Below are 14,561 nucleotides of genomic sequence, written 5' to 3' on the forward strand. Positions count from 1 at the left end.
GCGGAGAAGCCATTGTCTTCAGAAACCTTGGTGTAGTTGAACTGATAGTTACTGTTGTGACCTGAAGTTCACCATTAAAAGGGATTACTCAAGCAAAATCGTGGAATTATTGGTGATAAAAGTGATTGTTGGCACATCCTATGCAATATATCTAAATTGAATAACGGTACCAGATAAAATTAGAGATGGGAATGAAGCTTGTGTGTCATCCATTATCATGTGTAATCAATAAACGATTTAATTCTCTTGAAAAAAAATGTTCACACTTGTTGGGAAAAAAAGTCTCCCTTGGTTTCATAATGCAGAATGTTGAAAGTAAGGCTCTCCCTATGACGCCCTTAGCCCCACCTCCACCCCCAAATAACGGGAAATACGGGCCGTCTTCTCTGAAGGAAGATTTTTGGGTTTATCCGAAGAAGGCAGGTGTAAAAAGCGACTGGGAAACAGCAATATGCCCTTCTGCCTCTCCTCTGAGCAGAGCGAAAGGCTGCTGGCCACGGGAATGTGGGTCTCGGTGATCCCCGCAGCCCGCAGGCCCCACGGACCCAGGAGAGGCCGGCGCGGAGCCTGGGGCGGACTAACAGCAGAGGGCGCCATAGAGCAGGCCGCGCCCGGCAGGTGCGGCCCCCGCGCCCGGGTGAAGTCCGCTGGCCGGGAGCAGTTCCAGCCAGACCCTGCAGCTCTCAGACTGGGGCGGCCCTCTCCCTTGCCCTCCTCTGCTCGGCTGTGATTTCGCTGTGCTTCTGTGGGAGAAAATGCTATAAGTGACTCTATGGACATCCGTAAAAATAAATGCCAGCTACTATGACTATTCAGGTGTACAGGTGACATGCGATATTCAGAAAGAAGCTAAGAGTCTGGGGTAAGGGTGGGAAGGGGGATGTGGTTCGTTGTTTTTTGTTTTTCTGCTTGGCTTGTGGAGTCCGTTCAGTGTGTAGTGCTTTTTGTTTGTTTGGTTGGTTTTTTTAATGTCTTAGGTTAAATTTTGTCTTTCTGGGAAAAGCTACTTTGGTTAAAATTTGTCTTTCTGGGAAAAGCTACTTTTTCCCAGGATGATTTGACACAACACTGGTGCAATGCACTAACTTAGATCAAAGAAAACGGGCTGAAGAGACCATTTACCCACATGTAAATCCCAGTAGGCCGTTTTTTAAAGAACCTCCGCCGGGATTGGGAGTCATTCAATCAAGGAGCGTTAGAGCTGGAAGAAACTTTTGAAATTAAACCGCCTTTTTATTATTAGATTAAAAAGGAGGCCCAAAGAGGAGAAGGAACTTGTCCAAAGTCACAGCACCTTTGAATGCAGTGGGGCTGATTTCCAGTCTGGGGCACAAGGGAAACTTTTAGTGAAAGGTTGGTGGTGTGTGTTGTTAAGCTTTCATTCTATTCTCTATTATATAAACATTGTAAGGAAAATTGAGAAGATGCCATTATTTTAATTGCCAGAAATCCTCCCACATCAAGGCGATCATTGTTAATATTTTTGCTCTATAATTTTCCAGCCTTTTAAACTTATATATCAAAACTTGTATCAATACAAATTTATATCAGTTTACTAACACTGGATTACACCATCCTTATTGCTTTGCAACTACTTTTTTTTTTTGATCATCAATATAGCTTGAACACTTTTCCATGTCAACTAATATATATCTACATCATAATTTCTAACAGATGCATAACTATTCCCTTCAATGGGTGCACCTTCATTAGTTTAATCAAACCCTTATTGATGGGCATATAAGCTTTTTCCAATGTTCAACTTTTTTTTTTTTTTTTTTTTGAGATGGAGTCTGGCTCTGTCACCCAGGCTGGAGTGCAGTGGCATGATCTCAGTTCACTGCAAGCTCTGCCTCCCAGGTTCAAGCAATTCTCCCGCCTCAGCCTCCTGAATAGCCGGCATTACAGATACCTTCCATCACACCCGGCTAATTTTTGTATTTTAAACAGAGACGCGGTTTCACCATGTTGGCCAGGCTGGTCTAGAACTCCTGACCTCAGGTGATCTGCCCGCCTCGGCCTCCCAAAGTGCTGGGATTACAGGAGTGAGCCACCACACCCGGCCCAATGTTAAACTTTTATAACACATTTGCATTAAATATTCTTGTCCGTACATCTTTTGCACAGGTAATGTCCACCTATTGATGGGTGTGGCTTTTTGTAGGAATGCAGTGTGATGGTGTAGGCTGGGCTTGGACACTGCCTTGCAAACTTTCTGCATCTTTACACAAGCCACAACCTTACTAGGCCCCAATTCTCTCATCTTCAGGTGGAGGTGATCATAGTGCTTGTCTCCTAAGGGTGTTGGGAGGATTCAATGAGGTCATATATAGAAAGTGATTGGTCAGTGCCAAGCACAAACACGTCCTATATAAATGTGAACTCTTAGAATATTACTATCATTACCTCAAACCCTGAAGATTGGCTCAAAATAACCCTCATGGTTTTATTTTACTCTGATTGAGAGTAACTGGATTTCATGAAGAAGTGTTTAAGTGCTAAACTCTAGTAGCTAAAGCAATATCTCCTTTCTTTCTAACTTAATTCATCCAGAGGAAAAAATAATGATAAACGTAAATGGTGGATGGGTTCTTCAGCTACTTGTTATGTTCTGGTCATATAGCTTAATGCTAGCCCAAAGAGAAAAGTCTATATTGGCAAGGATGTGGAGAAATTGGAGCACACTATTGGTGGGAATGTAAAATGGTGTAGCTGCTATGGAAAACAGAATGACAGTTTCTTAAAAAATTAAACAGAATTACAATACGATCCCGAAATTTCACTTCAGGGTATATACGCAAAAGAATTGGAAGCAAGGACTTGCAGAGATGTTTGTATGTGTTCATAGCAGCATTATTCACAATAGTCAAAGGTGGACATAACCCAAATGTCCATCAGTGAATGAATGGATAAACAAAATGTGGTATACACATACAATGACATATTATTCAGCCTTAAAATTAAAGGAATGCGTACCACCTGCTACAACATGGATGGACTTTAAAGACATCATGCTAAGTGAAATAAGCCAGTCACAAAGGGACAAATATGGTATTATTCCACTCATGAGATACCTAGAGCAGTCAAATTCATTAAGACAAAAGGAGAATGATGGTTTCCAGGGGCTGGAGGAGGTGGCGGGGATGAGGCTGCTGTTTAATGGGTGCGGAGTTTCAGTTTTGCAAGATGAAAAGAGTTCTGGAGATGATGGTGGTGATGGTTGCACAACAATGTACCTAATGCCACTGAACTGTCCATCAAATGGTTAAGTTGGTAAACTTTGTGATATGCATGTGTTACCACAATTAAAAACAAAATTCTAAAAGAAAGAGGCATAGTGTCTCATTGAAGGTTCTTAAGTTCCCTTCCTAAGCATCAAGTCTTTTGTGATAGATAAAGCCCCCTCTGATCCCTTCTCCTTTGGAAAATGCTCAAAGCACAGCCTCTGGCTTCCCAGTGCCTTCGAACTCGTCTCCTCTGTTTTGTCCTTATATCCAGGGTCATCACCATTTCACAGGCCTAAGCAGTGAGGGGGTGAACACTGTAGCAGAAGCCGTGGTCTCTGAAAGTTTGTTTTTAATCTAGGAAGATGCCATGAGTCACCAGGACACATTTCAGGTTCATATTCCCATCTGAGGCATTGGAAACCCATTCCTACCAACCAAATGTATGAGTTACCCACATTTCTTCTGCTCGGTCCCCACCCTCACCTTCCGTCTCTCTCCCTCCCTCCTCTCACAGGTTGCATCATCCTCCCCAGACAGGAATGGGCTGATGGCACTCTGCTCAGAATATCTCCTGGTTCCCTGTACATGCAGGATGAACACCCGCCCGAAAAGTCTTCCACAGCGCGGCCACTCCTCTCCCTCTTCCTTTCACCCTGAGGCCTGCTGCACTCCTCACCTGCTCCAGGAGAGCAGAGCCTGTGGTTTCCTGGCCCAATGGACCTTCCCCATCTCCAGACATGCTTTACACATCTCCAGCCCAGAGCCTTCGCACAAGCCTTTCCTGCTGTGTTCACTGTGTTGAATTCCTGTTCCTCTTCCTTATCCAGGCTCAGTTCTCACTCCTAATTTAATGATGTGGCAAGTCTCTGAGTTAGAGATAGCTCTCATCTGTATCAGGGGAGAACTAATATACACAACAACAATAGCGCACATTGATCAATTACTGACTGTGCCAGGCACTGTTCTGTGCATGTGCTCTGCATGTACAATTCTGGTTTCCTCAGAATCACACTGAGATGTAGCCACTATTATTATCCCCATTTTTCAATAAGGAAACTAAAGTGGCCCAAAGAATGTAAGAAACTGGCCCAAAGCCACCCCCCTAGTAAGAGGTGGAGAGAAGATGAGGATGCTGGTCCTCTGGCTCAGGCTGCTCCTCAAGGTCTCGGTGGGGAGAAAGAGGTAAGGAATGTGAAGTGTTGGGCACAAAAGCAAACCACGGTTCTCCTCCCACCCTCCCCACCAGAGTTTACCTGGAAATGGTTATTTTGTGTCTTTTCCCTTGAATATATTATTAAATCCCCAAGAACAGGAATTGGCTCTTACTCATCTTCATGTTTCTCCAGCCACCAGCCCAGGTTTTACTCATAGTAGGTGCTCACACTAAAAAGAAGAAAGAAAAGAGAAAAAGTTCTTCTGTGCCTTGAAAGTGCGAAGTGAAGGCTACAATCTGGGACAAGAGAAAATGAGCAGTACGGCACGGTACTTAAAGCCTGGATTTCTGGAGCCAAACAAGCAGATCAAATTGCAGCTTCACTTACAGCTGTGTGACCTTGGGCAAGCTGCTTATCTCTTTGTGCCCCAGTGAGTTGTCTCATATATACACATGCATGTACAGTCGTCCCTCAGTATCTAAAGGGATTGGTTCCGGGACCTCCTTCGGATTCCAAAATCCATGGATGCTCAAGTCCCTGCTGTGAAATGGCATAGAATTTGCATATAACCTACAAACATCCTCCCATGTACTTGTTTTTTTGTTTGTTTGTTTGTTTGTTTGTTTGAGATGGAGTTTTGCTTTTGTCGCCCAGGCTGGAGTGCAGTGGTGTGATCTCTGCTCACTGCAAGCTCCGCCTCCTGGGTTCAAGCGATTCTCCTGCCTCAGCCTCCTGAGTAGCTGGGACTTCAGGCGCATGCCACCATACCCTGCTAATTTTTGTATTTTTAGTAGAGACAGGGTTTCACCATGTTGGCCAGACTGGTCTCCATCTCCTGACCTCATGATCCACCCCCCTCGGCCTCCCAAAGTGCTGGGATTACAGGCATGAGCTACTATGCCCGGCCCTCCCATGTACTTCAAATCATCTCTAGATTACTTATAATACCTAATACAATGTAAATGCTATGAAAATAGCTATTATACTGTATCGTTTAGGGAATAATGACAAGAAAAAAGTCTGTACATGTTCAGTACAGACACAATTTCTTTTAAAATATTTTCAATCTGAGGTTGGTTGAATCCATGGTGGAGGAACTCCTGGATATGGCTACAGAGCGCTGACTGAGTCATACTCAGCATAACAACATTGAGGTCAACAAGGGACTGCAAATATGGTAGTGGTCTCATAAGATTATAATGGAACTGAAGATTTCTATCACCTAGTAACTTCATAGTGTCATAGCGCAATGCATCCCTAGCATGTGTGTGTGGTGATGCTGGTATAAAGAAGCCTACTATGCTGCCAGTCATGTAAAAGTGTAGCACATACTATTATGTACAGTGCATAATACCTGATCATTATAACAAACAGCTATGTTACTGGCTTATGAATTTGCTATACTATACTTTTTATTATTATTTTAGAGTGTACTCCTTCTACCTATAAAAAAGTTAACTGTAAAACCAATTACAGATAGATAGACAGATAGATGAATAGGTGGATGGATAAGTGGATGGATAGATGGATAGATAGACGGATGGATGGATGGATGATAGATGGACGAATAGATAGATAGATAGATAGATAGATAGATAGATAGATAGATAATCACAGTGTTACTTTGAGGAATGAATGAATGAATATATGCAAAGCACTTGGAACAGTGTCTGAACCATGGGAAAGGCTCGATGTGTTTGCTATCATTATAATTCTGTATCTTAGCCCAACAAATGGAACATGAGTTATTAACCACCTACCTTCTGAGAAAATGATAATAAAAGAGCTTATCTGCAAATAGTACCTTCTAAGAGCTCTGCAAAGTGCAGTTCAAACGTTGCTTCCCTTGAGGGTCCCTCCCTGACTCCAGACTGAGTTTCTCATTCTTTCCTCTCGGCTGCATCTGTTTTTGCTGTGTATATTTCATATTTTATGTAAATAGATACAACCTATTTAATCTACTAAATTTTTTAAATTACATGCTTTATGCTGAGTTAATTACAGACTCACAGGCAGTTGTGAGGAATAATACAGAAAGACCCACTGTACCCTTCACCCAGTTTCCCCCATTGGTAACATTTTGCAAAACTGTAGTGTAATATCACAACTAGGATATCAGCGTTGATGCATTTCACATACAGGACAGTTCAATCACCATAAAGATCTCCCTGATGCCCTTTTATAGCCACACCCACCTCTCACCTTTCTCCCGCATCTTGTCCCTAAGTCTTGTGACCACTAATGTGTTCTCTGTTACTTTATCATTTCAAGAATGCCATATAGGCAGCAATGAGGCAAGGCCGTGTATTCTACTATTCTACCATATATTCTTGATTTTTTTTTTTTTTTTTTTTTTTTTTTGGAGATGGAGTCTCACTCTGTCACCCAGGCTGGAGTACAGTGTCACGATCTCGGCTTACTGCAACCTCCCCCTGCCAGGTTCAAGCGATTCTCCTGCCTCAGCCTCCCAAGTAGCTGGGACTACAGGCACGTGCCACCACACCCGGCTAATTTTTTGTATTTTTAGTAGAGATGGGGTTTCATCTTGTTAGCCAGGATGGTCTCGATCTCCTGACCACGTGATCCGCCCGCCTCAGCCTGCCAAAGTGCTGGGATTACAGGCGTGAGCCACCGTACCCGGCCTATTCCTGCTATCGTACTTCACCTTACTTCTTCTGGGGAAGCCTCTTCCCTGCCTCTAATCATTTCTTTGTGCAGTCTCTGAATGGTCTTTCAAACAAAAGTGTGAATAAAAGCTCCCTGAAAACTTCAAGATAGATAATGGATTTTAGTATAACAGAGTAAGAAAGGTTCACTAATAGACTTTTAGATTTCATATTGCAACTAATCTCTAAAAACTCTCGTCACCTGTCAAGTTTTGGTGTAGTATTAAAAAGGAATATCTATACATATTTGAAAAGACCATTAAAATACTCTTCTCTTTTTTAACTACACATCTAAGTGGGGCTGAATTGTCTTCAGATACTTCAACTAAACTAACATATAGTAAGAGATAGAATGCAGAAGCAGATATGAGAATCAGCTGTCTTCCATTAAGCCAGATATTAGAGATCTGAAAAATGCAAAACAATTCCACTTTTCTCACTAATTTTTCTTTGTTTTAGAAAATACAGTTGTTTTCATAAAAATATGCTATTTGTATTAGTTTGCATTGGCTATGTTGCTGTTTTCAAATGAATTAAATAGTTTTAAATAGCTCTGTTTCAGTTTATGACACATTAAATATTAATTAATATACCAAAAAAGAATGTTATATAAGTGGAACTATGCAGTATGCAACCTTTTGAGATTAGCTTTTATCATTTAGCATAATTTTTTATTTTTTAAATTTAGCATAATTTCCTTAAGCTTCATCCAAGTTGTTGCATGTATCAGCAGTTTGTTCCTCTTTATTACTGAGCACCATTCCATGGCATGGATGTACCACAGTTTGTTTACCCACTCACCTATTGAAGGACACCTGAGTTGTTTCCAGTTATAACAAATAAAACCTCAGGTACAGATTTTTGTGTGAACATATGTTTTTCATTTCTCTGGGATAAATGCCCAGGAGTAGAGTTGCTGCATTGTGTGGTAGAGGCATGTTTAATTTGTTTAAGAAACTGCCAAACCATTTTCCAGAGTGGTAGGATCATTTTACATTCCCACCAGCAATGGTAAGAGGCCCACTTTCTCCTCATCACCATTTGGTGGGGATAGACAGACATTTATGTTATCTATTCTGACAGATATGTAACGGTATGTCGTTGTGACTTTACATTTCCCCAATGGCCAATGGTACTGAACATCTTTTCATGTACTTATTTACCATCTCTATATCTTCTTCAGTGAAACGCCTATTCCTTTCTTTTGCCTATGGTCTAAATGGATTTTTTTTAACTGTGGGGTTTGCAGAGTTCATGATGTATTCCAGATGAGAGTCCTTTGTCAGATATTTGGTTTACAAATATTTTTCCCAATCTGTAGCTTGTCTTTGCATCCTCTTAATAGGGTCTTTCATAAAGCAAAAGGTTTTAATTTTTATGAGATCCAATTTACCAATTTTTCCTTTATGGATCACACTTTTGGAATTGAGTATAATAACTCTTTGCCTAGACCTAGGTCTCAAAAACTTTCTCTAATGTTTTTCTTTTACAAGTTTTCTAGATTTACCTTTTCCAATGCACACTGTGCTCCATTTTTAGCTAATTTTTGTATAAGATATGAGACTTGGGTCAAGGTTCTTCTTTTTTCCTGTTTTCTTTTTGCCTGTGGATGTCTAATTGCTTTAGCATCATTGCTGAAAAGCCTATTGCTATGGTTGGAATGTGTCCCCTGAAGTTTGTCTGTTGGAAACGTAATCCCCAATGCAACAGTGCTGGGAGGTGGGGTCTAATAGGAGCTCTTTAGACATCAGGGCTCTGCCTTCATGAATGGATTAATGTCATTATCGCCAGAATAGGTTTGTCATAAAAGCGAGTTGGGCCCCCTGTCACTGTCTCTCCCTTGCCATGTGATGCCTTCTGCCTACGTGATGATGCAGCAAGAAGGACCACACCAAATGTGGCCCCTCAATCCCGGACTTCCCAGCCTCCATAACCGTGAGCCAAATAAATCTCCGTTGATTATAAATTACCCAGTCTGTAGCATTCTGTCATAGCAACATAAAACAGACCAAGACAGCTGTCTCTCCTTCATTGAATTGCTTCTGCACCTTTTCAAAAATTGGTTATATTGTGTGCATCTATTTATTGGTTCTTTGTTCTCTTCCATGAATCTAGGGGTCTATCCCTCAGCAATAACACGCTGTCTCGACTATTGCAGCTCTAAAATGAGGCATGTTGCTCTGTCACCCAGGCTGGAGTACAATTGTGCAATCATAGCTCACTGCAGTCTTGAACTCCTGGACTCAAGCAATCCTCCAACCCCAACCTCCCAGGTAGCTGCGACTACACAAGCCTGCCACCGCACCTAGCTAATTAAAAAATTTTTTTTTGGTAGAGATGAGGTCTCCCTATATTACCCAGGCTGGTCTTGAACTCCTGGCCTCAAGCAATCCTCCCATCTTGGCCTCCCAAGGTGCTGGGATTACAGTGTGAGCTACTGTGCTCAGCCTACCTTTCTCCTTCTCTTACAAGATTATTTCAGCTATTCTAGATCCTGAGCCTTTCCATATTCATTTTAGCATAAGTTTGTCTATGTCTACAAAAAACCTTGCTAGGTTGCTATAGCATTTTGATTTGCTTCCATCCAACATCCAAAGTATGATTTGGTCAAGAAAGGCTGGGTGCAGTGGCTCACGCCTGTAATCCCAGCACTTTGAGAGGCCGAGGCAGGCGGATCACAAGGTCAGGAGATCGAGACCATCCTGGATAACACGGTGAAACCCCGTCTCTACTAAAAATACAAAAAAATGAGCCGGGTGTGGTGGAGGGCGCCTGTAGTCCCAGCTACTTGGGAGGCTGAGGCAGGAGAATGGCATGAACCCGGGAGGCGGAGCTTGCAGTGAGCCGAGATTGCGCCACTGCACTCCCGCCTGGGTGACAGAGTGAGACTCCTCAAAAATAAAATAAAATAAAATAAAATAAAATAAAATAAAATAAAATAAAATAAAATAAAAAAGTATGATTTGGTCAAGAACATCTACAGGGTATCCTCATTTGACCATGACATATTCAAGGTAGAAAATCCATCTCATTTATCTTTGTAACTGCCAAGCACCCAGCACGATGACATATAATAATAGGTGCTCAATAAATATTTGTTGGGTGAGTGCACAAATGGGTGCCCCAAAATACACTTTCATGCAAAAACAGACAATTTTGCAGTAAACAGACTCCAGCCTTTTATTTTGTTTGCTCTCAGCTCCTTTATACTTTAAGCTCATCTCACTCATTTCTACTAGGTTTCCTTCCGAAAACCCACAGCGGGCCTAGACCATTTTGGTCAAATTTGAGCTGATTGCATCACTTCCATGGACAAAATCTTAGAAAACTACTTATTCTATATACTGAATAAGATTCACATCCCTCTATACTCTTCCCATACACACAGAGAGACAACCTGTGTCATCAGCCAGGAAGGAAATATTTGCTGAGGTCTTAGCCTGTACTAGGGACTGTCAACAATGAAAAGAATGGTAAAATATTATTTCTGCCCTGAAAGAGTTTGAAATGTGAGTTTGTTATTTGAGGACTCTATGACGCATATTCTGTTCATTATATAATTGCTCACCTTTTCACTTCTCTTCAGCTGAGTCATGAATCTTCTTCGTTTCTGTTCCAGTGCTTTAGCTGCAGGGGGCAGTTTCTGGCCTGTGCACTATAGGCCACGGCTGATGCCACGTCATCCCCCAGGATTTTGGGAGAAAAGCCCTCGACTTCTCTCCAACTCTCTCCTTTTTCTCTAGGATGAGGCCAAAATACACATATTTGTTTTCACCTCTTATCCAAGTATATTGAAAGGATTAATGAGAGTGCTTTAAAGCCCTTTGATAAGGCATGGTATATTGCCAAGGTAATCAACGATTATGTTTTCTTATATGAAAGTTAAAATAAGCCACAGGAAGGAGTCTAGCCTTCCACGTTTACCGGCGTTTATTTTTGAACGCTGTTTTCTTTGCCATTCACCATTAGGAAAACAGAGTCTGAGTACTGTGACTTTAAGGGCCTATAAACCTATAAATCTTCCTCCCAGGTCAGGGTAAATAATTCTCCTTTCTACCATAATTGGGGAAGTCAGAAGTGTGCTCAGTGTGTGGCTTGAAAGATTCTTTGCCAAAATTCTACCCCAGTGGACAAGCCTGGGCTTTCATGAGGGGATCTCAACTTTCTCAGCCTCTTGGCAGCTGGCAATGCCGCCTTGAAATGCCTTCCTTTGCTTCCATGACATCCCTGGGGACCCCTTCTCCATATCCTTCAGGGGACCTTCCTCCGCAGCCCAGCCTCTGAATGCTGGTGGCCCCCAGTGCTCGGTCCAGGTCCTCTCCTTCCTCACCCTTCACTCTTCTTGGGTAAGCTCACATGCTCTCATAGCTGTAGAGACCTTTTAGAAGGGGCACATTCTCCTTGTTTCTATGTGGAAACCCTCTCTAGAATATTCCCTCAGCCCCTGGCCTCTTCATTTCACTTACTGGTGGTCTTTAGAGGAAGAATTGGGCAGGCTCCTCTGGGCCCCTCACTCTGCCTCAGAAGTCCATCCACCTACCTGCCCTCTGCCTTCTGCTGTCTGCCCTGGATGAGGGTGAAAGGAAAAGGCTGACTATTGTCCATCTGGGCCAGTGACCGGATGTGCAAGGCCACCTAATTTTGAGGGAAGTATTAACAGGCCCATCTGGACACAAATCTAGGGCCACAGCCTCTGATTGGCTTCATCAGCACGAACGCTGACATTTAATCTCCATCTGCCCACAGCTAGGTTTACCTCTCAGTTGGTTCTACGCTCAGTGGGGATGAAGGGTGCTCTGTTGACCCTCTCCCTTTCCCCCACCCCACACTATCTAGTTATCAGACAAAATGGACTTTGAGAAAAAAAATTACCAAAGAAGGATCTTTTATAAGGATAAAGGCATTAATATACTAAGAAGACAAAGAATCCTATGAGGGTGTGTGTCTTGTAACAGAGCTTAAATATCCCTGAGGAAAAAATTGACAGAAATAATCCACAATCATAGATGAATATGAATATGAATATCTTAGGATAGGGCTGCTAGAAAAAAATCAAGAAAAAGATAGATGGACTGAACAACACTATTAACCACTTTTATATAATTGCTATTTATAGAATCTATATCTACCAGTTACAACTGCAGAATACACATTCTCTTCAAGCACATGTGGTTTGTTGACCAAAATAGACCATATGCTGGACCATAAAACAAGGTTCAATAAATTGAAGAGGATTTATATTTTATAGAGCCTATTCTCTGATTAAAACAGAATTACATAGAAATTAAAAACAATAAGATAAGTAGACACCAAATATTTGGAAATGAAACAATTCACTTCTAGAGAATCAATAGGTCAAAGAAGAAATCATGACGGCAATTAGAAAATACTTGGAACTAAATGATAATGAAAAAGGTAAAAATTTGTGGAATGTAAGCAAACAGTGGTTAGAGAGAAAGTTATACCTTTAAGTGCTTATACTGGGTCAGGTGGTGGGAGGGTGTACAAAAACAGAGACTTAAGAGTCCACAATAAGAAACTAGAAAAAGAAGAGCAAAGTGAGCCCAAAGTAACTAGAAGAAAGGGAATAATAAAGATAAGAGCAGAAAAAGAACACAGAACTGAGAAAATTAGCAAAGAGAATGAAGTTTGACAAGAGTGCCAAGACAATTTAATGAGAAAAATGTCTTTTCAATTAGCTGTGCTGGGACAACTGGATATCCACATGCAAGAGAAAGAAGCTGAGCCACTGCCTCACACCATATACAAAACATAAGCCAAAATGGAGCAGTGTCTTCAAGGTAAATCCATAAAATGCCTAAAAGAAAATATAGGAGTAAATCCTTGGGTCCTTAGGCAATGGCTTCTTAGATATGACACAAAAGTGACAAAAGAAAAAATAGATATATTGGAATTCATCAAAGTTTTAAACTTTTGTGCTTCAAAGGATACCATCAACAAAGTGAAAAGACAACCCACAGAATGGGAGAAAAGATTTGCAAATCATACATCTGATAAGAGACTTGTATCCATAATATATAAAGAACTCTTACAAGGCAACAATAAAAAGACATTTTAGTTTTAAAATGGACAAAAGTTTGAGAAAGATATACAAATGAGCAATAAGCTCCTGAAGAGATGTTCAACATCATGAGTCATTAGGGAAATGCAAACCAACTGCAATGAGATACCACGTCACACCCACTAAGAAAGCTGCAATCAGAAAGTCACATCCTAACAGAGTTAGCAAGGATGTAGAGCGATTGGAACCCTCACACATTGCTGGTAGGATTATAAGATGGTGCTGCTGCCCTGGACAACAGTTTGAAATGTCTTCAAAAAATTAAACACAGAATTACCATATGACCCAGCAGCTCTACTTCCAAGGAAGTAGAGCTACTTCAATTCTACTTCCAAGAGAATTGAAAATACATATCCTCATGAAAACCAACTGTGTTTGTTTTTTCTTTTCTTTTTTTCTTTGAGGCAGGGTCTCACTTTCTCACCCAGCCTGGGGTGCAGTGGCACAGTCATGGCTCACTGCATCCTCGATCTCCTGGGCTCCAGCAAGCCTCCTGCCTCAGCCTCCCAAGTAGCTGTGACCATAGGCAAGTGGCAACACACCCGGCTAATTTTATTTATTTATTTATTTTTGAGATGAAATCTCAGTCTGTTGCCCAGGTTGGAGTGCAGTGGCACGATCTCAGCTCATTGCAACCTCCACCTCCTGGGTTCAAGCAATTCTCCTGCCTTAGCCTCCTGAGTAGCTGGGACTACAGGCATGTGCCCCCAGGCCCAGCTAATTTTTGTATTTTTAGTAGAGATGGGATTTCACCATGTTGGCCGGGCTGGTCTCTAACTCCTGACCTCAGGTGATCCACCCACCTTGGCCTCCCAAAGTGATGGGATTACAGGCATGAGCCACTGCTCTCAGCCATTTTTAAATTTTTTGTAGAGATGGGGTTTCACTATGTTGCCCAGTCTGGTCTCAGACCGCCAGGCTTAAGCAATCCTCCCATCTCAGCCTCCCAAAGTGCTGGAATTACAGGCATGAGCCACTATACCTGGCCTCCTCACAAAATTTGTACAAAGTGTTCATAGCAGCATTTTTCATAGTAGCTGAAAAGTGGAAACAACCCAAATATCCATTAACTGATGAATAGAAAGATAAAATGTGGCATATCCTCATGATGGAATATTATTTGGCCATAAAGAGGAATGAAGTACTGATATGCTACAACATGGGCAAACCTTTTATATCATGTTGTAAGGCATGATAAATAAAAAAGGTCAGACAGAAAAGGCCACATATCTATGATTCCATTTATTAAAATGCCCAGAATAGGTCAATCAGAGATAGAAAGTGGATTCATGGTTGCCAGGGACTTGGAGAAGAGGGGAATGGGAAGTGACTGCTAGTGGGCATAGCAAATCAAATCCAACTCTTGATCTATCTACAACTGTAGCTATAATTACAACTAGAATTACATCGAATGTACCAAGACAAAGTAAAG

General features: G+C 41.6%; 2 long non-coding RNA genes across 2 annotated transcripts in view; one reads left to right on the top strand and one right to left on the bottom strand.

Annotated features, from left to right (window-relative positions):
* Positions 1-14,561, bottom strand: part of PLUT (PDX1 associated lncRNA, upregulator of transcription) — a 98,200-nt gene that overhangs the window by 10,449 nt on the left and 73,190 nt on the right. The window contains exon 3 of the long non-coding RNA NR_047484.2: positions 4,481-4,610. This is a non-coding gene — a long non-coding RNA (PDX1 associated lncRNA, upregulator of transcription). The remainder of the gene's footprint in view (positions 1-4,480; positions 4,611-14,561) is intronic.
* Positions 670-6,189, top strand: LOC124903139 (uncharacterized). The gene is made up of 2 exons (XR_007063734.1): positions 670-862; positions 3,742-6,189. It is a non-coding gene; the product is annotated as an uncharacterized LOC124903139 (long non-coding RNA).

This window comes from Homo sapiens, chromosome 13 (assembly GCF_000001405.40).
Source record: "Homo sapiens chromosome 13, GRCh38.p14 Primary Assembly".
Lineage (NCBI taxonomy): Eukaryota > Metazoa > Chordata > Mammalia > Primates > Hominidae > Homo > Homo sapiens.